The sequence below is a fragment of the Homo sapiens genome, chromosome 11, assembly GCF_000001405.40.
Source record: "Homo sapiens chromosome 11, GRCh38.p14 Primary Assembly".
NCBI classification, from domain to species: Eukaryota; Metazoa; Chordata; class Mammalia; order Primates; family Hominidae; genus Homo; species Homo sapiens.
In genome coordinates, this window is record NC_000011.10 from 11,441,848 (window position 1) to 11,464,042 (window position 22,195).

The window sequence follows — 22,195 nt, forward strand, 5'->3', positions numbered from 1 at the left end:
GTTTAAAAATTATTGTTATGAACTTTAGTATAGTGACAGCAGAGCCTTAAACCAATCACAGAGCCTTTCTTCTTCCAGGATCCTGTGCAACAGGCTGTACACTGTCTTGTTTTCCTAATACTAATATTGTCACTGTAACAAATTATTACAAACTTGGTGGCTTACAACAACACAAATTTATCATCTCATCATGCTGGAGGTCAGAAGTCCAACACAGTTCTCGCTGGGCTGGAATCGGGGTGTGCAGCACTGCATTACTTTCTCAGGAAGACCTATTTTCTTGCTTTTTCCAGCAACTTGAGGCTGCTCACGTTCCTTCCCTCATAACTGTCTCCTATCTTCAAAGCCATCAGTGGCCGATGAAGTCTTTCTCACATTGTCATCTCTCAGGTTGATCTTTTGCCTCCCTCTTCCACTTTTAAGTGCCCTTGGGGTTAGATTGGGCCCAGCCAATGAATCCAGGAAAACTTCCTTAGTTTAAAGCCATCTGATCAGCAATCTTCGTTCCATCGGCAACCATAGATCCCCCTTGCTATGTAACATTACATACTCATAGGTATGGGGGATTAGGATGTGGACCTCTTTGGGAGGCCATTATTCTGTCTACCCATGAAACCAGGACCCCCAAAGTTCAAAGATGCCAGATGTCTCTCTAGAGTCTGGACTGTTAAAACAATCTTGCCCACCGAACACTCAGAGCCCCATGAAATGGTCCCTAACCTGCTCCCAGGAAGACCAGTGCCCCTGGCTCTGGGCTATATTCTTCCTCTGCTACTATCCTGTCCTGCTTCTTATCACTTTGGTGCTCACAAAGGATTACCTCCAGCTCCAGACCCAGGGCTCTGTTGTGAGCCTGTGTGTGGATCTGTCCCAATTATTCCCACCTAGGGCTGCAGAACATATTCTGACCACCTTTGCCAACGCCTCCTGTCCTAGCCCCACGCCCTAACCCACCTGTCAAACCCAAGAGCCAGTCCATCCTAACCCCTGGGAGGGAGGGACATGGGCCTCAGGGGACACTGGTGAGAAGGGCAAAGTCATTACTGATAAGGCTCAGGAGCCTCTGAAGATCTGCTGGCAAGAGGCAGGAGGCAGTGCGTGCCAGAGGCTCTGCCTTGAGCTGCCTTGGAGGGAGGCCATAGAGTTGCCATGGAAACACAACCCTGGAGCTTGAGACCAGAGCCCCCACTTCTATCCACACCCACGATCCCTTAGACTTTCCTGTGCCCCTTGTTTGGAAACAGCCACTTCTTGCAGAAAAGAATGTGACATGAGTCTGAGGCCGAAGCCGCAGAACTGGAGAGCACACATGTTCCACCTGCCTGGCCCGGCTGGGGTGAGAAGCCCACCTTCCCAAATCACCTCACACTGGCTGGCTCACTTCAACCCTGCGCCATCCTCCTTCTCCACAACTCACACCCATCTTTTCAGTGACCTCCCAAAAGATGTCCCCTCCTCCTACCTCTCCACCCCTTGGGCAAAGGACTTCTTCAGTCGCTTTCTCACATCTCCATTTTTCAAAAAGAAATGATGTTTCACTTACACACAGTAAAATGCACAGAGCTTCAGTGTATAGTTCAATGAGTTTTGGCATGTGTACGCCTCTGTAGTCCACACCCCAATTGAGACTTGATGTTTCCTTTTCCTCTTCTTGCCCCTCCTAGATTATTTTGGAGCCTACCAATAAGGAGAAAGAGGGTGGACACCGAGAGGCAGGAGGAAGCACACAGAGAGAGCCATAGGACATCTGGAGCCTGCGGCTGGGGCCATGGGGGATGGAGCCGGGTCCAGCCAGGCTGGGATGAAGACTTTCTGCCCTTCAACCCTGAGACTAGGTATCTTCCCAGACCAGGAAGGAAGCAAGTGAACCCCTGCCCAGTCCTGGCCAAGGCCCCACATGGATGAGGTCCAGGAGGCTTCACCAGAGGAGTCTGAAGTGTCCTGCCTCCCCCAGTTCTTCCCACCTGGATGGCTGAGGGGTCTGCCCTACTGCTGCTACAAAACTGCAAGGAGGATGAATGGCATTTTGATTTCCCCAGGAGCCAAGGGGCCTGGATCCTTGAGGAAGTTGGTCCCCTCTTTGTGCAGATGAGGTTGGAAAAACTGGCACACTTCCTATGCCTATTACATATTCATAGGTGTGGGGGATTAGGATGTGGACATCTTTGGGAGGCCATTATTCTGCCTATCCATGAAGCCAGGACCCCCCAAAGTTCAAAGATCCCAGATGTCTCTCTAGAGTCTGGACTGTTAAAACAACTCTCCCCAGGGAAGCCGGCACAGGGAGGTGCCTTGCAGATGCCACCCTCCAGGCCCCGCCTCCCTGCCACAGAGAGGTGCCTTGCAGATGCCACCCTCCAGGCCCCGCCTCCCTGCCACAGAGAGGTGCCTTGCAGATGCCACCCTCCAGGCCCTGCCTCCCTGCCACAGAGGCACCAGAGGGACAGTGCTTCTGTGACCATCACATCCAGGCCACTGCCTTACTAAAAGCCTGCGAGGACAAGTCCTCCCCGCCACGGAGCCTGGGAAATGGTCAGCAGACTCGCCCTCCCACCAACCTCTGTCTGGGTTCCCATCTCAGTGTAAACTCCAGGAGATATCCGTCCGACGCTTTGTTGGGTGCCGGGCACATCATGAGTGCTCAGTAAATGTTGGCTGGATAAAAAAATAAACGAGGCCTAGCAACTGGCTGGACCGATGTTTTTCCTTCTAGTTGTGTCCTGTCTTGTCTATAAGGCACTGGCACAGCATGGTCCTATCTCAGCCACATGACAAGCTGGGTCAGATTACATCTTTCAGTACCAAGAAAAAAAGGAGACAAAGTAAGTGACTAGCTAGAGGTGAGAGAAAGGAGGGTGGGCAGGATTCTGAACACTCACTTTCTGATCTAGGAATGAAGCCAAGAATAACATCAGGGTTAGAATTTGGAAGAAAAGAGCCAAGAATACCAAGAGCAAAGTGTGGAATACAAGCAGCAGGAACAGAAGTCCCGAAGAGCAAACTGGAATTCACAAGAGGCACAGGGGCTCCGGCTATGGCAAGAGCCACACAGCATGAATCTTCCAGAGACTGCAGTGACTGTGGGCTTCCTCTCCACATGCTGACCCACATCCTCTCAGTCCAAATCCCAACATTAGCCAGAGCCCAGGCATCATTCTGAGCCTTGGCAACAAGCCTTGGTTTCATGTGCACTAAAACAGTTTTTTCCAACATGTAGACGCCGACCTTCCTCCCTCCAAAACTGATCAGCAAATGCTCAGTGCTATATTGTTAAAGCGGGCCTGCCACTCCCATTAGAGTGACACAAATAGATGCCTCAAGGCAGTGTGAGGACAGTGGTTACATGCACAAATTCTATTGCCAGACCACCTGCCCCAGCTCTGCCACTAGTGACCTTGGGCAGGAGATATCATCTCCCCATGCCTCAGTTTCCTCTTCTGTAAGATGAAGGCTAATCATAGGACCTACCTCAGAAGGTTTTACTGTGAAGACTCAAGGAGTTCTTATAAATTAAGTGACAAACATATGCCTGAAAACATGGCTTATCCTATATAAATGTTTGCCAGTGTCGTTTGAAATAGGATGAGAGTAAAATTTTGAAAAGATGTTTCCAAAATGAATTAAGAAGGATGAGCCAAGCAATGGCCTTGTTACAAGGCAGGGATGTTTTTATGGAAATTAACAGACAAAAGGAGGCACTGTTTTACCTAAGCACATACTTGTTTTGTGTGGTCCACCAACAGCTCTCCAATCTTGGGCGTGCGTCTGGCACGTGAGCTGAAATAGAGCTAGACGGAGCCTTCCAAGTACATGTGCAAAGAGAACCCTCCACTGTTAAAGCCACTTTCACAGAGCCCTCCCTGAGGAGTGAGGAGGCTCTGCTCTGCCTTTTATCAGAGATTCTGTTTTTCTGTCTGGAAAAAGGGGCTGACAGAAGTTGCTTGGTGCCACGGGGGAGGTGTGGAAGCTCCACAGACTGTAAAGTTCTGTGCAGAGGGAAGGTCTCTCTGTAAGGACGATTGCTCCTCTCCAGCAGCTCAGAAGAAAACTGTAGAATTCTGCCCACCTAAAGTCCTTCAGAGTTCCTCCCTCTCTCAGGCAAATTCCTCCCACAGGTGAGAGTGGGTGGGGCGCTTCTCTCAGTCAAAGATCAAGGGCTCCCACATGCGCTCTCATTGTGCAGCATTGTGCACAGTCAAATAAACAATGGTGGGCCGATGTCAAAGCCACGATCCGGCATCTGAGACATGGGCTCAAGGCTCAGCTCAGTTGCTTATCTGACTGTGTGACCTCAGACAACACTCTTTCCGCTCTTCAGTTTCCTCAACTCAAACCGGAAGAATCTACCATTGCCTGGCGTACCTTCACTGCCCTGTTAATGTGGTCCAAATGGGAAGGGCATTATCGGCACGTCCAGCACTATGGGAATCCCAGTTGTTGTTATAACCAGGTTATAATCTGTAAAATCCACCCTTTCCTTGGCTTCCTTTCCATTTTCCCTTTAATTTTGAACAAATATGGATTGAGCTGTGCCTGTGTTTTGTAACAGATTGACTGAAAAGTCCATGGCTCTTCTTCTGGCCAAGGTCATGGCCAAGTCCCCTGCAGGAACTAGAGGGCCCTATTCCTGATGATCTCTTCTCCAGAGCCCCTGTGTGCTGCCCCCACCAGACCAGCTCCTCTCCAGACCCAGGAGTGGTCTCTGCAGCTCCTCTGTGGACTGAGGCCCCATGACACTTAGCTGAGGTCACTTTCAGGATATTTCCAGAATCCAACCCCATCTCAGCACCTCCCCTGCTGCCATCATGGTCCAGGCCACCACTGCCTCTCACCTGGAAGCCTCTTAATTGGTCTCCATGCTCCCAGCCTTGCCCCCTCGGTCTGTTCTCAGTATAGCAGCCACAGGCACCTTTGCAAGTGACAATTAGCATATTGCTAATCTGCTCAAGCCCTTCCCATGGATCTCTGTCTCACAGAGTAAATGCTGCACTCCTTGCAAAAGCCTATGAAGCCCTTCTCCTGGGATTCACCTTGACTGCACATCGGAATCACCCAGGAGCTCTAAACAATACTGAAGCTGAGTGCTGCCCCAGAAACACTTATCTAATTGGTCTGGGGTGTGGCCTTGGCATCAGGATTGTTTTTTAAGGCTCCCGTGATGTGTAGAATGGGCAGCAAGGTTGAGAACCACGGCCCTAATGATCTGCTTCCTGTTGCTCCTCTGGCCTCATCTCCAACTACTGCCCCCTTACACACCCCATTCCAGCCACAGGGGCCTCCTTCCTCTTCCTCAAACATGACGTGCCATGCGTGCTTCTGCCTCAGGGCCTTTGCACTTGCCACTTCCTCTGCCTGAAAGGTACTCCCCCCATCCTCCAACAGTACCCTCATGGCTTGCTTCCTCTTCTCCTCCAGGTCTTTGCTCAAATGTTACCTCTTACTGAGGTCTTCTCTGACCACGCAGGAAAAATTGCAGCTCCCCACTCTTGTCCCAGGTGTCTCTCTCTCTCTCCGACTTTATATTTCTCCATAGCACTCACCACCACCTAACATACTGCATATTTGACTTCTTTGTTTTGTTTACTCTCTGCCTCCACCCAACTAGAATGCCAGCTCTGTGAAGCAGGGGTTTCTGTATGTTTTGTTCACTGCTTTGTCCCTTGTATTAGTCCATTCTCATGCTGCTATGAAGAAATACCTGTGACTGGGTAATTTATAAAGGAAGGAGGTTCAATTGACTCACAGTTCTGCATGGCTGGGGAGGCCTCAGGAAACTTACAATCATGGTGGAAGGCACCTCCTCACAGGGTGGCAGGAGAGAGAATGAGAGCCAGCAGGGAAAATGCCAGACGCTTATAAAACCATCAGATCTCATGAGAACTTACTCACTATCAGGAGAACAGTATGGGGGAAACCACCCCCATGATTCAGTTACCTCCTACCTGGTCCCTCCCACAATATGTGGGGATTATGGGAACTACAATTCAAGATGAGACTTGGGTGGAGACACAGCCAAACCGTATCATCCCTGTGTCTAGACTATGCTGGCACAGAAGTGCTTAATAAATGACCTGCAAGTGAAAGCACATTCTTCTCTCCCTTTGGACATCCTCAGCTGCTCTTTCATCCTAGCCGAGCCAGGTTCTCCCTGAGCCACAAATAACCATACCCAATTATACAGTATACAGCAGGTGTTCAATGAATGTCTGTGGAGCTGAACTGAATCTTCTCCCTAAAAGAACACGGCCTCCAAACCCAGCAGCAAGATCTTTCTCAAAGACTCCAGATATAAGCTCACTGTGGTTTGCAGCTTTTAAAAAAATGTAAAAATGAGGAGAAAAGGGGGAAAACACTGTGGGGGGGAGCTCACAAAAATTAATGAGATTTTCTCAGCTGAGGTACATGCCCACATTTTCAATAATTGGGAGTAGTAAGAATTCTCACTGAACCTTAAAGGAACATCCTTCTGTAACAAAGAGAGAAGTCAAGACAGACTTCTCTGTCAGATGTAACGACTTGTTAGCCCCACAAGATAGATGTACTTTAAAAACTAATTTACAGAAAAAAGATTATGCATAAAATGCAACTAATTGGGTTAAAATGACGTATTAACAGGAATGTGAGATGATTGTAGTGTCCTTAACGAGTAAATTAAGTTGTTAATCCTCAAAATCTCTACTGGAAGAAAGCTTTGCCCCTACTCAGCTAATGGAGAAACTGAGGCTGAGGGAAGAGGAGAGTGACTTGCTGAACGCAAGCCGAGGGGACAGGCCCTGGCTGAAGCAGGAAAGGGACCCAAGAATCCAGGCGCCCAGTCCTGCTCTGTTCCCAGCACTCTGGGGACCCCATCTCCCCATAGGCAGGTCGACAAGGGCCCAGTCACTGACTCTGCTCACCCACTGGGTCTGAGGTCAGGCAGGGGCCGGTCCAGGGGCAGGCGGTCGCTGAGGTAGGCGTTGTAGCCGTAGTACTGGAATTGCTTCAGGGCCACGCGCCGGCCTTCGGGGCTGAGCTCCTGGCCCCAGTGTGCAAACAGAGAGGAGTCTGTGAAGGGCTCGGCCTCTGCCTCCTCAGGCTTGGCAGGAGCCTCTGGAGAAAGAAGGAACAGGAGACAGTGGGTCAGAGTGCACCCCTGCATGTGCCATGACAATCCCTTTCCCTTCCTCACAAACAGCCTTTGGTAAAACAATCTTAGCCCCTTCTTTCGGGGTCAGTGCTGACTTGGGTTTTCATGCTTCCCAAAGACCCATTCATCCATGAATCCATCCATTCATCTAACCCACAACCACCAGGCACAGGAGTTAGAGAAATACACCTGACAGGGTCTGCTGAGAAGCTAATGGATGTGACATTGATGCCCCATGGCTTCAAGTCAGGACCCCCTTTTTCCCCAGTCTGCCTCCCTGCCAGAGATGTTGGCCCCAGCCCTCAAACTGGGCATCTGCTTCTCTGTCCCTAGCCTGTACCCCCATTTCCTGCAATTCCCAAGCCCACCCCACATTGAGGCACCCAAGCTGGGAGTCTACTCCTCCACCCAGTTCTTGCCAGCCCTTCTCCCTCTTCACTGTCTGGTCCTCCAGTGAGTTGCCTGGTGCACCATGTGACATTCACCTGGCTGTCAGCACCCCGGCCAGACTGCCTCCTGCTGCTTCCAGACACTGCCCACCAGAATAGCAAATCCATGACACAGGTGACAGCCAAGCCACACCCAGCCTGCCCTGCGCTCTGGGCCCTGCTCATGGGAGCCCTTGTGGACTTGGTGGAGGCAGCTCAAGGCCAGCACATGGTTTCCCAGGAACTTCCCAGAAAAATGGAGGGGAATCACTAACTGTGAGAGCAGAGGCTTTGAAGTCACACAGTCGTGGATTCCAGTCAGTGCTCCACCACGTCCTGGCTACATGACCATAGCACAGTCAACCTCCCAAGGCCAAAATTCCCCAACCTAGAATGCAGAGATAATAATACCCAACCAGCCTCCAGAGATTGTGAGGATTCCATTAAATAAAGTGTATAAAGCATTTAGATCAGTTTATGTCTCAGAACAAGTGCACAGCCAATGGCAATTAGGGTTATTATAGCAAGGGAAGGTTATTGAAATCTCTCTTTGATGGGGGCTAAAAGATAGATCTTGCCAGGACATGGGCTGATAGTCCAGGACTTTGGAATTACTTCCCTGGGACAGGCCATCAGGTGAATCATTTGAGGTCAGAAATCAGAGAAATTGGACAGAACTGGCAAGCCCACTGGACAGGGTCGTCTATGCTCACAAATTCATGAGGGAAGTAAGAGATGGAGCCAGGAGCCTGGAATGAGACAGTGATCAGAAAAAACAGAAGCAGGTCAGGGACAGGAGAGGCAGGCTTGGGACACCTGCCCACATCCCCTTGTTGGCCTGTATGGAGTCAATGGGTGTATGACACACCTAGGTACAGGCTGGAGATGAGTAAGGAGCTAGGGTTCTGAAGTCTTCAAGGCTGGAGTGCTGGGGCTATGGACTGCCACCTCCTCATGCGATGCTCTCCTAAAAGCCCATCTGAGAGAGAGGAGACTGCCTGGGAACAAAAGAGGGAGGCTTCCAAAACATAGGCTCCCCCTACCATGGAAGGGGTGCTCCAGTGGCAGGAAGCCTCCATCACCAGAAGCAGGCAGAGGCTATCAAGAGTAGAAGGGGACTTAGCAAGCTCACGATCCTGAAAGCAGAGATGCCAGAGACCTCAGTGTGAGAGATGCAAAAAGATCTGTCAACAAACTCCCAGGTGCCGAACTCACTGGGTGCACATGCATTAAGGTACCTCTCCGGGCCACGTCCTCCAAATGGGACACCCCTGTAACTCTTGGGATAACCATCAGAGCTAACACTTGATGAGTGCTCACTCCTACCACGAGCCAGGCTCTGTCCTAAGCATTTTCTCTTATCAACTCATCTCACCCTATAAGGTAGGAATTGTTGTCATCTTCATTTTATATATAAAGAAAGTGAGGCATAGAGAGAATAAAAAACTTGTCCAGGTTCACACAGAAGAAAGTGCAGTAGCTGGATTTCAGTCCTGGGAAGGCTCTCCCCAGGCAGTGGTCCTCCCACTATGCTATACAGCCTCTATAAGGCAATGAGCTGCTAAAGTACGTGAAGTACAAAGACAAACATGGCATACCATCTCGGTGACTGATTTTCCTTAAAGACATAAAAGCAAAGTCGGAAAATTTAAACAGATTAGGATATACTGAAGAATAAAATGCAAACTATGCAAACTCTTCTAAGACACAGCATTGTCAGGATTGCAGTGGCTTGCCCAAATCTCCATCTCAGAACTTGCTCATTCTTCTCCCCTACTAGGCATGCTTGAAGGGTAGCACAAGCATGCATGATCTTGAAGGTCCTTGTTATCTCTAAAAAGATGTATGACTCATTCGTTTGGAATGGGGGGTAGTAAAAATCTAAATCAGTGAACCAACTGAATCATATAATATTTAAAAGAAATGTAGTTTTATTGCTCTCGAATACCTAAGTGGATATTACTAAGTAAAATGAGATCAGTTAATGGAAAATTATGATCCAAAATTAGGCCTGCATTGCATAATAATATATTATAAACATATTAAAGTCCTGGTGACACCACATGGTCCTACCTTTTCACTCAGTATGGGCACGAAGGATGACAAACTCAAAGCCAGTGAGTCCTGAAAGATGAGGTGGAGGGCCTACAGCAGGAAAGGTGTAATATTTGTTGAATTTCTGCCAAGAGTCAAGCACTGCGATAGGTCATTTCCTTATCGAATGTTGCCTCTCTTCCTCCTCACTGGTGCAACTCCACAGAGCAGGACCACATCTGACTTGACCCCTGCTGGACTGCCAGCTCCTAGCACAGTAACTGCTTCTTACAAGGGACTCAATCGATCATTTCAAAATACATCAGTTAATAAGTAACCCATAGTGGTTAGACAAGATGAAACCAAAAGTGAAAAGGTTAAATGTCTAATCCAAGGCCACCCAGTGTGTCAGTGACATCGAATAAAGGCCTGGCTCCTCCAAACTCCACATTCTTTTCTCTACACCAGGGGTGGCAAACCATGGTCCAAGGGCCACTACTTGTCTTTGTAAATAAAGTTTTATTAGAACACAGTCACATCCACTTGTTAACATATTCTCTTTGGAGCTGAAGAGCAGAGTTGAGTATGTATGACAGAGATGATATGACCCGAGAATCTGAAAACACTATCTGATTCTTTAAAAACAAAAAAAAGTGTGCCACCCCCAACATTTTCCCGAGCCCTGTCTGCCCTGTACCTTAGAGTTGACTCTCCTGAGGTAAGGAGGCCTTGCCTCTCTGAACTCTATTTAATTTTCTTTACTTCCAAAGAATTGGTTAAGAACACTGGCTGTGGAGTCAGAATCCTAGGGTTTATCCTCCAGCTCTACCATTTGCCAGTTTGGTCCACCTCACCCTGAGCCTCAGTTTCCTCTTCTGGAAAATGGGGTTGATAACAATAGTGCCTTCTTCATAGAACATGTGTGAGGATAAATGAGATGGTCAGGTAAGGAGCTTGGCACGGTGCCTGGCACATAGTAAGCTCTCCATAAACACTGCTGAAGCCCGCACAAAGCCCACAGCCCTATCGGGCCGCCGGAGTTGGGACAGGAAGGTGACCTTGCCAAGGTCCCCAGCTCTAGAAGATGCTGACGCCTTCCAGCCCCACATGAAGGCTTTCCATGTCCATAGACAAGTGGTCTATGCTTAACCAGACCTGGACTCCACTCCCGTCTCCAGTGAGAAAGCAGGCCTACATGGTCATCCAGCAAAGGGGACCACCTTTGACATAAGGGGGACAGGCAAAGAGGCCTCAGAGAAGTGTCTGGGCTGGGTCTTCTACAGGGGTCCTGGGGTGTTTGGCATATCTGGTGATACCCAGACCCTCTGATGTCTGGCATCTAGGGATGAGGCACCTTCCAGGATTGGACTCTGGCTGAAGCCCCTGCAGGCATTCAGACCTACCTGGGCATGTCTGACCAACTGATGAGGTGACTTAAGAGAAGCACATCTCCAGGGGCTGAGGACTCCCCAGGAGGGCCCATTCGAGGCAGAGATTGAGCAGGGCACAATGAACTCTGTGAGCTGCAAAGCCAGAGAGTGTGAAGGGGAGTATTTGGAGGATTCTGAGCACAACACAGAGGCTGTTACTCGCCCCCTGCCCTCACCCAGCCCTGAGTGCTTGTCTGGGTCCCAGGGAGAAATAGGATGAAAGGGAAAGTGAAGGGGCTGCTTCACCAGACAGCCATGCTTGGGGACCAAGCGGTGCTTGAGTCAGGGAAGGTGGAAGGAAAGGGATGATGTGATTAGGGCAGGTTGGGGAGCCCCAAGTACGGCCTGAGGAGACCCCTGGGCCAGGGGAAACATTACCATGCCACGTCCTTCTCTGATCAGAACCCTCCAAGGGCCTTCCGCCACCTTCTTGTTAAACACCTGCAAGGCCCAGCACTCACCTCCCATCTCTGCCCCTGGTTTTCTCCTCTCCAGCCACACCGGCCACTCATCAGACTCACCAGGCACATCTCACCTGAGTGCCTCAGCTCCAGCATTTCCCTGCACATCCTCCTGGTCAGTTCCCTCACTTCTATGTCTTTACTCAAAAGTCACTTTCTCAGCAAACCCTATCCTAAACATCCAGCCCTCTCCCCAGTTTTTACATATATAGTCTCTGATATGGTTTGGCTACGTCCCCACCCAAATCTCATGTTGAATTGTAGCTCCTATAATTCCCATGTGTTGTGGGAGGGACCCGGTGGAGGTAACTGAATCATGGGGGCAAGTCTTTCCCATGCTGTTCTCACGATAGTGAATAACCCTCAAGAGATCTGACGGTTTTATAAAGGGGAGCTTCCCTGCACACGCTCTCTTCCCTGCCACCACGTAAGGTGTGCTTTTGCTCCTCTTTCACCTTCCACCATGATTGTGAGGCCTCCCAGTCATGTGGAACTGTGAGTCCATTAAGCCTTCTTTTCTTTATAAATTACCCAGTCTCACTTACGTCTTTCTTAGCAGCATGAGAACAGACTAATATAGTCTCCATTCATTTTGCTTGTTGTTTGTTTCCCTGACTGGAACGTGGCTCTGTGAGGTCAGGCATTTGCTTTGTTCTCTGTTGAGTCCCTCAGACTCAGAACAGCATCTGGCGCCTAGTAGGTGCTTAACCAATACCAGTAAAATGAACGAATAGGGCATTAGCAGTGGGTCGTCGTGAGGTCAGAAAACTCCCTGCCTACTAGAGATTCCCCAAATCTTTCAGAGGGAGTAGAAAGGGGGCTGCAGTCCTGTGCCAGCAGGTAGGAGCACAAAGCCAGTGAAGGCATGGCCGGGGCAAATTCCAGCTGTGTGCAGTTAATTCCTCCCCAGTTCACTTAAGCAAATGATTGTGCACAGTTACGCAGACTGGCACGGCATGTTTAAGAGCTTCTCAGGTAGTTCCACAAAATACGGTCAGTGGTAAGCAATCTCCACTGCTCTCCCAGGACTCCTCTGTAAATCTCTTATACCAGAGAATTACCAGGCTTCTCTCCCAAGTATCCAGAATAGGACTGTGCATGGAGTAATTACCCCCAAAATATAGGGAGAAGGAAGATAAGGAGGGAGGCAGGGAGAGAAGGAGGCTGTGTCTTCTTCTTGCCTCTCTCTCTCTCTCTCTTTCAAATCTCACCAAGTAAGGCTCAGAATCAAAAAGATTCCACTGAAGGGTCCAAACATCCCTCTTCCCAGAAACCCAGGCACAAAGGGCAATGAGGTGGGAAGACCCAGAGACTCTAGAAAACTGGCCTAAGATGCCCTCAGGAAGTGTCCAGCTCAAACCACAGAACCACAGAGAGCCAGAGAGTCAGGCCAGGAGTGCTCTTCCTTCCTTGAAACCCAGCCTGCGGTGTCCTCAAAGCTCTGGCAGACACGTTGATACCCATCTTCCCTCCTGAGTCTCCTCAGTCTCCAAGGTGCTCATTACAGAAATCCTCACCATCAAGCCCTGAGGGGAGGATTCCCTCCAGAGGACACTAATCACTCCACCCTTGAAGAGAAAGGTACAGTTGATGGGTCTGTGCAAAGCATGACATTTCTGACATTAACAGGCAAACAGGCTGACTCCTTCCTCATTGTTGACATTGAAATTCTCCCTGAGGGAACCAGCAAGCAGTCATTCCTGCCCATCCCCAGGGTGCGGGGAGCTGCAGCTTGGCCAGCCCTATTCAGAGATGCTCCCTGATAGCTGTGCTTCCTTTGTTTGCTGGGCCTTGGAGCTCACTGTCAGCTTTGCCCACAAAGGGTGTTAATCCCTTTTATCATCTAAGCAACAAATATTTCAGCAAGTTTGTTCTATGCCAAGCTTATTGCTTGGGTATTGAAATATTAAGATTACTCAGATGTGTTCCCTATCCTCATATAGCATCCAACTTAGTGGGAAGAGCAAATATATAGAGAATGTAAACAATGCTCTGATCAAGGGTATATAAGATGCCATTGGGTCCCTGTAGGTGAGGGGAAATGGGGCAGAGGGAAGGCTTCCTAAAGGAAAGGATGCTTGAAGTGAGGGGAAATGGGGCAGAGGGAAGGCTTCCTAAAGGAAAAGATGCTTGAATTGAAGAATAAGTGCAATCCTCAAGCTCACTCCAGGGAAGTACACCCCAAAGTAGAGGCCAAGAAGAACCAGGATGCAGGAGGAGGAAAGAGCACTCTGTGGGGCTCAAAGCTGCTAGACAGGTGGCTGTACAGATCGGAAACCAAGAAGCCAGACCCAGAGCATCCAGAGCCTCAGCAGGCTGGGGGTAGCCCATGGAATGGGGGCAGGAAGAACCACAGTGAAGACTGCGAGTCTGAAAGCCTTGGGATTAGCGTTATTATTTGGAAATAGTTTCTGAACCTACAAGCAAGTATCCCAAAGCTCAGCATGGTAAGCATCACAAAAAGGTACTCTCTAAAGTGGCACTGGGCACAGTGACTCATGCCTGTAAACTCAGCACTTTGGGAGGCCAAGGTGGGCATATTGCTTCAGGCCTGGAGTTTAAGACCAGCCTGGGTAACATGCAGAAACCCCATCTCTACTAAAAATACAAAAATTAGCCAAGCATGGTGGTGTACATCTGTAGCCCCAGCTACTCAGGAGGTTGAGGTAGGAGGATCACTTCAGCCCAGGAGGTCGAGGCTGCAGTGAGCTTTGCCACCACACTCCAGCCCAACAGAGCAAGACCCTGTCTCAAACAAAAGAAACAAACCACAGAGTGGCAAAGTGCATTATTTGGGGTCCAACTGCAGGCTGATCTTGGGTGTCTAAAAGCTTTATCCCTGGAGCTGATTCCCTAGTACAGTGTACCCCAATTCCATTGCACTGCACCTACCTCTCCTAGAATGTAGGTTTAATCAATCCCATCATAGATAAGAGAAAACTGCAGCTGGAGACATTAAGGGGCTTATTGCTGAGCTCACAGTCCTGACTGCAGCCCTACCTGCAAATTATGCACCAAGACTTGTTGTCTGACTTGAGGACTGGAGATACTTCAGTCCCCAGGAGGCTACTCACTTGGTCTGTACTGGTTCAAACTAGTTGTTAAACTATTGAAATACCTTCCTAGCGGTGGCAAACAGCTGCCGCCTAAAATACCTCCAGGGCCCCCCTGCAACCCCAGGTGCTCTGGCCCTTTTCTTGGAATGCTCCAGTTCTTTTCACCAATCAGCAACTCAAAGGCCCAGCCAAGAACCCCAAGATCCTGCTCTAGGCTGTGTTGAGCATTCCTGTCAGTTGGTTAGTACTGTCCCTTGACAGTTGTTTGCCAAGTATATTTTGACTACCAGTTGCTTGAGTCCTTCCTAGGTGGGCCCCTGTGAATGAGAGTGATGGGTTTCTAGAGACCCACTCACTCAGGTCATTTGCTTCCCCATGATCATGCCCAGTCCTTATTGTGCATGACTGTTTTTCAAAAAGTTCTACCAATGATCACATAGGGCACCTGGGAAATGCCATAATGTGGTCTCAGTGATATGCCCACAGTGCCTGACACACAGCCCATTGATAAGAGTGGAGCTTACAGATACATCCTGACAGGTCCATGCTAATTCATGGAGACAAGTGGGAAGTGGGGCAGGAAATAGCTTGCAAAGCTTTGAGCAATGAATGCAACAAAAGCCACAGCTCTGAGCGTTGTGCATGGGCTAATTGGCCAAGCAAGAGGAGCACATCTGGAGGCCCTGCCAAGGCTTTTGAGGCTCCTGAAGCCAGTGATGCTGAAAGTAGGAATTCCTGCATGAAGGGTTCTGCTTCAGTGGGCAGTCCACACAAAGCACTGGCCCCACTGGCTCGTGCTCCAAGATTGTGGTGGTACTGAGACTGCACAATGGAGTGGGGAGGAAACGGGCTTCAGAGTGAAAGGGGTATTGTAATGCTGCCCAGCCCTGTCTAGGTCTGACTGCCTCACCTTCTAGGACCAGATCCCTGCAGATCCCCTTCTGCTGAAGCTGAGTCATTTTGCCAGCTCTTGCCATCGCTGGAGATAGAAATTCTGAGGTGCTGGTGGTTTTTTGGAGGAACTGCAGGAGAGGCTGTAGCCTGGACCTCTTCCTAGGCAAGAATCTAGCACTCATATCTGCTCCTTGGATTGGAGGACAAGGGAATCAGAGGAGTCAAATGGCATGGTTGCTGTTGGAGGTCAAAGTGGTTTAGGGCTCCCCCCTCAAGGTTGGGCCGCAGGAATGGTCAAGTCCTACCGAAGGGTCAGACAGAGCCACCCAGAACGCAGCTCACCTGGCTGAGGACCCCTGGCCCGCTGCCCAAGCTAGTCTGTGCACTCTCTGGGAGCGGCAGCTCTGCTTCTTGTCCCTCGGTTTGTGCACCTAGGGATGTGCTCCCAGGAAACCACTGGAGCCTTCTTGTTTCTTGTGGTTTACTCAGTTTACTGTGTCCCTCTCTCAGGCAGAGGGGATCACTGAGAAGGCTTTGAGGGTGGGTGGGGAGTGGGGGCTAGCTTTTGTCCTGCAGCCAGTTCTGTAGCCACTGCTATTTCTCTTTCTGCCCTCAGGCCATGCTTATAGCAAAGCTCTGGTTGTTTGGTGATAAGATCCAGAACCCAGTGAGAGGAGGCAGGAGAAACTAGGTCAGGCAGGTTGGGGTGCCAGGTATCTGTCTGCCATGGGCCCCGAGACCCTGAGTCTGAAGTACACTTGGGGTGCAGACCCAGATGGTCCTGTCTCCTGGTCCTCCTCCCAGAGTGCACTGGGGACCCCTTCCCTCCCCGCTTCTGGGTCTGCTATTCGCTCTCTTTGGGAAAGACCCAGAGTCCCTTCAAGCCTTCACTTTCTTCACTTGTGAGATGGAAACCGACTGTCAGAGGTCACTGTGAAGTCAGCTTTGGGAAAGATGAAAGCTAAGCATCAAATAATGCAGCAAGCATTGCTGAATATCCCAGATAAGAATTCATAAAGAAGGTTTTCCTTTTCTTCCACTCCTCATTTTAAAAGCGGCTTTATTGAGGTATAATTTATATACCATAAAATTCACCCATTTTAAATGTACAATTCAATGATTTTTTTAAAAAAACTTTTCTTCCACTCCTGCAGTGCATTGTTGCATGCTTTATTTTGGGTTAAAAAGAAGAGGGCTAATTGAATGTTCAGAAATGTACATTTCTCTTGTCGGCTTTCAGTAAACTCCTGCCCGCTGACTTCCAATGATGAGAAGTCACCATTATTCCCATTAAAAAGCTTGATGCTTGGGCCTTGCCCGAGAAGCCCAGACCATGTTTGCAGAGCATCAAAGCCCAGTTCACCCGAGCACTGCTAATGAGGGCAGGACTCACACCACCATGCAGAGGGATCACATCATAAACAGCCGGAACAGCAGCGTTCAGCCTCAGCTGCCTTCAGCTTGCCATCTGCTGTGTCGCCTTCACGGCCTGTGGGCCTGACCTCCCCTGTCTTCCAAACACCCAGCCTTGAGATCCAAATCCCAGCCTTTGTGCCTGGTCCCAGCCAAAGCCAGGCACTGAGACCCGTGGAAAGCTGGCTGGTCTGGGAGACAGGAAGCCTTGGCCTAACCTCATCTCCAACACTGGGCAAACCCCCAGCTCCCTGGGCCCTGCTTGTCTTCTGTAAGATGGAGCCAGTGTTTGCGTTTTACTTGAGCGAGAAGGGGGACTTCGGCACATCATAGCGGTACTCTTCTTATATCCAGCAAAGCAAGATGTTATGCCTCTGCTTGTGATTAGGCTCCCAAAGGACAATTTTCAGATTTTTGAAAACATCCTTGAATATGTCAAGTGCCCTAATAATGGTAAGTAAATGCACTATTCTGTTGATGGAGGGCTTCCCTTCTTCTCTGTTTCTAGAGTTGCATTCAAACATGAGCCGAAGGTCTTTTGCCAATGGTCCCCACAATTAGGCTTTCTCTTCCTGGAATCCTCAGAGCTGCCAAAAGAACGAAGTGGAATCTGACAGCAAAGAGCTTGGAACCAATCAGGAGGAAGGAGCCCTGACAGTCTCAGGTCCAACACCATTAAAATCCTCTGTGCGAGGACTTTATTCAGCATGGCAAAGGAAATCTAGGATGGCTTCCTCTGACACCTGAACAGTGTTGCAGGGAAGAAGAGAGGCTTCTTCAGGGTGCCTCAGCCCAAAGTAGGGTGGGGTCTGCCATCCAAGAGATGTCCCACTGCAAGGCCAAGTGCAGACTCCATTAGGGGCTGAGCCCACCAGACTGAGGAGCTCTGGAGGCACCTCTGCCCTGGATTGGCTGTGTGACCCTCATCAAGCTCTTAAACCTCTCTGAAGCTCAGCTTGCTGTCGAATGTGGATAATAATGTCTATGTCTAAGCTTGTTGCAAAGATTAAGTGAGATGATGGACACCCCGAAAGTGCTTAGCAAACCATCAGATAGGTGGTAAAGTGTATTAATAGTTTCCTATGGTGCTCTAGCAAAAACCACAAACTTAGTAGCTTGACAATGCAGACATGCTATCTTACAGTTCTGAAAGTAAGAAGTCTGACAGGCATCTCACCGGGCTAAAATCAAGGTGTTGGTAGGGCCATTCTCCTTTCTGGAAGCTCTGGAGGAGAGATTCTGTTTCCATGCTCTTCCCAGTTTCCAGAGGCTGCCTGCATTCCTTGGCTTATGGCCTCTTCCTCCGTCTTCAAAGCCCACCACAGTGGGTCAAGTCCATCCCACATCGCAGCACTCTGACCTTCTCTTCAGCCCCTTCTGCCACATTCAAGGACCCCTACGGTTGCGTTAGGCACACCTGGGCAATACAGGCTACTCTCCCTCTTTAAAAGTCAGCTGAATTCACAACCTTAATTCCCTATGCAACCTTAGTTCCCTTTTGCCATGTAAGGTAACATATTCACAGGTTCCAGGGATTAGGATGTGTACATCTTTGAGGGGCCATTACTCTGCTACCATAGCAAGAGTCCAATCATTGTGTGGCTTTTCCCATCTATTAAAAAGAGATTCTAATACTTCACTCACAGGGTTATAGTGAGGCAAAATACCAATAGCTGACATTTGCAAAGAGCCTACCATGTCCAACACTACTCTGAGCAAAATGGCTCTGTCCACCCCAACACTCACTGAGTGTGAACACACCCCGTACAATCTGGGCAGGGCTGTCATCCAAGTTCTCCAAAGGTGCAGCGCACCTGAGGGCTGCAGGTGGCCATGAGCTGTGAAGGAGCCTTATCTCTGCCCACTCCTCCCTGACCTTGAAGCCCTTTTGGCCTTTCCTCCCTCGTACACTCACTAACAAGGTAGAAAGGAGAGCCCTAGCTGGTGCAAAGCAGGGACTGAGGCAGTCGCCCTCCTGCCTCCCTGTTTCTTCCTGACCCACACAGACGGAATCATTATAGTGTCCAACTGGCTTCCTGCTACTGTTCTTTGGACTTCGGTGTTGGTATTTGGCTACTCTTAAGTGTGGCTTTCAAAACTCCCTAAAGCTGCAGTTCTATTGTTAGTTTGTTGTTGCTTTTATTTGGGGAGGGGGGATTCAGAACCCTCTGAGAAAAAATGTTAAAATTGTTTTTCTTTATAAACTACCCAGTCTCAAGTATTCTTTTATAGCAATGCAAAACAGATTAAGACAGCCAGGGATACAGGAATTTGGCCCTGCACTCTGGGAGGTACTGGCAAGAGTTAGGGAAGGCAACTCCAGCTAGGTGGGCTAGGACTCAGGAAGGGTGGTGGGTCCCAGCAAAAGACCAGAGTCAGTTCAGTCCGGGCTGACATGGCAGACAAAGGACAGGAAGACATCTGACTCTGCAAGCTTAGTCCAGATACTACAGGATGATCTCTCTCCGTCAGAAAAATCCCACTCCACTCCTGACGGGCTGGCACTGCTGGGTCTTTCCTCCCCTGCAAGGGGGACTTCTGGGCCTGGGTGTGTCTGAGTGTGCGGCTAGGATGGCTGGTGCAGGTAGGAGCAGCAGGGCTCAGCATGTGCACACACACTCACAGAAGTGGAAATAGCCTTGATTAGAAATTATGCAGAATGAAAGCTGCTATTAAAGGGTCAAGTTTTTACACTCCATGCCAACTATATAAAGTACATGTGAAAAAACTCATTTTAGAGAGTGACAAATGTCTGTATCTTAGGAATCAGAATTTATATGTGCCATTACTTGCTACTTTAAAGCAACCTTTAAAGCTAGAATTCTGCCTAGGAGAGATATAATAAACTCTGAAGCACATACCGTTATCCCCCCCGCTCCCGCCCGCCACCGAGCTGACAGCCCGGAGCTGACACCCGGACTTCTAAATATACACTACACTGTTCACACATAAAACAGTGTTCCCAGTGTTTCCACACATCAATCTATTGGAATGAACAAGCCGGACCAACCCTGCTAATGTTAAAGAGGCATGCTTCCCTGACACAGACACACGGATGGGAACAGCTGGGCTAGACAGGGAGAAAGCAGTGTGGCCCTTGCCAGTAGGACAGCCTGCAGCCCAGAACAATGCCAGACGCCATGACTCCTTTCAAGGCTCTGCTACAAGAGTCCTTGCTTTGGGAAACCTGCAGCCTGAATGAAGCTGCAAAAATCATATGTACCTTTCATCTGTAATATTACTCTATCATGTGCTCCCCTGTCTCAAACAGCCTCTCCCAGGAAGCCTGCCTGTTTCCAGTTTCTTTCTTCTGGTCTTAAAGGGAAGCGGGGTGCTGTAGGAACAGCAGCAAGCATCAGACTTCACCCAGAGGGCAGTCAGATTACAGATCGTGGGGTCCCACCCCAGAGTTTCTCATTCAGCAGTCTGAGGGGAGGCCTGAGATCGTGCATTTCTAGCAAGTTATGAGAGGATGCTAAGGCTGCCGGTCCACGGTCCCCACTCTGAGAATCTCAGCTGTAGAGGAGGAACTTCCTAGTCTTGGCTCTCAGTACATTCAGTGTGTGGCTGTGGCAAAGTCTTTTCTTTTTTTTTTTTTTTCCTTTGCGATGGAGTCTTGCTCTGTCGCCCAGGCTGGAGTGCAGTGGCATGATCTCAGCTCACTGCAACCTCCACTTCCTGGGTCCAAGGGATCCTCCCACCTCAGCCTCCCTTGTAGCTGCGGTTACAGGCTCCTGCCACCACACCCGGCTAATTTTTTATTTATTTATTTTTTATTTTTTTAGTAGTGGTGGGGTTTCACCATGTTGGCCAGGCTGGTCTCGAACTCTTAACCTCAAGTGATCCACCCGCCTCAGCCTCCCAAAGTGCTGGGATTTCAGGCATAAGCCACCGCACCCGGCCCTTCCTTTTCTTTAGGCTGCCCTTTTCTCATCAGTAAACACAAGGTGATCTCTAAGATCCCTTCATGCCCTAAAATGTCACAATTCTAAGGTGCTCAGATCACTGATTGTGGCTTACACAGGGCCTGGTGGCTTTCACTCAGAAGCAGAATGTTCAATGGAACCACCTGAAGTCACACAGCCAGGCAGCAGCTGATTCTAGGACCGGGAAGTAAAAAAGGGTCTTAATGCCCTCATTCCTGCTCAGTGCTCCCTCCACCACCCGGGAGGGGTCCTGCAAAATGGCTCTGGGGAAAGGCAATCTGCTCAAAGAACAAGTATTTGGGGTGTCAGCCAAACCCCAGAGCCTGAGCCCTGGGCACACCAGCAAACCTCCTCTCTCAGAGACCCCTTAACTGTGTTGGTGCCTGGGTCTAGATGTATAGCATGCACCTGCCCCTACAGGACAGGCAGGTGGGAGGGTAAGCAGTGCTCTGCAGTGTGGAGAGAGAGGATATCAATCACAAGACCCTGGAACTATTAGTACAGTCTCCCACAAGAGAACAGGGTTCCTGCTTCCCTCAGTTATCACTGGCTGTATCCTCACACATGGACATACACACTCAGACAGACAGACAGACACACACACACACACAGAGAGAGAGAGAGAGAGTTCCAGAAGCCCGCAGCAGCCTACAAAAGCTCATCCTGAAAACAGATTCTTCTAGTCCCAAGTGGTTGCTCACTGCTTATAGCAAGAGCATTAAAAATGTGTCATTTCAAAGATGAGAAAAGAACACTTACAAAAACAAACTTGTGAGAAGAAATATTATTCAGTTAACTAGCCCACATCTGATTCTTTAAATGTAGTGTACAGTGCAGAAGGATAAATACGAGCCAGGGCCCCAGCGAGGTTGAGGTCTGCTTACACGTCCCCTGGGAGCCCTAGCTGTTGTGGCCCCAGGGCTGAGCGTGCCATCACTCCCAGCAGCTGTCGGCTCACTGGACGTCTTTTCATTACTGTCCTAAGTCGTAAATCTCTCACCCCCAGCAGTCACAGCTGTATTTCATCAGGGAGAAGTGGATTTGTCCTTCGAAAAAACTGAACAAACAGGCCCTCCCAACCCCAGGCCCTGGCAGGATAGGGAAAGGCTTTGAATCCACGTCAAAGAAGCCATCAAAGGAAATAGGCCATTTTCAAACAAAATCCATTTCTTGAGCATGACGGTAAAAATATTTATCACATGAAAGATGTGAAACCTTTATGCTGTCTCGACGCTCTGTATTATGAATGCAGTATGTGTCCGGCGGAATGTGTGCAAAAACCGTCATGCTCATGATTTTGAAAGGGGGAAAAATTAGTCCTTTCCATCTGGCAAATTCTTAATTTACCAACCCAGTCTTGCTCTGTGAGCACCTGAAGCAGAGGAAGGAGGCAGTCCCGGCCTGCAGCCAGACAAAATAAGCAAAGG

General features: G+C 49.3%; 1 protein-coding gene across 6 annotated transcripts in view; it reads right to left on the reverse strand.

Annotated features, from left to right (window-relative positions):
• Positions 1 to 22,195, reverse strand: part of GALNT18 (polypeptide N-acetylgalactosaminyltransferase 18) — a 351,129-nt gene that overhangs the window by 170,971 nt on the left and 157,963 nt on the right. For all 6 annotated transcript variants that reach the window (NM_001363464.2, NM_198516.3, XM_011520071.4 and 3 more), the window contains exon 2: positions 6,897 to 7,089. In NM_001363464.2, coding sequence (NP_001350393.1) covers positions 6,897 to 7,089 — 193 coding nt within the window. The remainder of the gene's footprint in view (positions 1 to 6,896; positions 7,090 to 22,195) is intronic.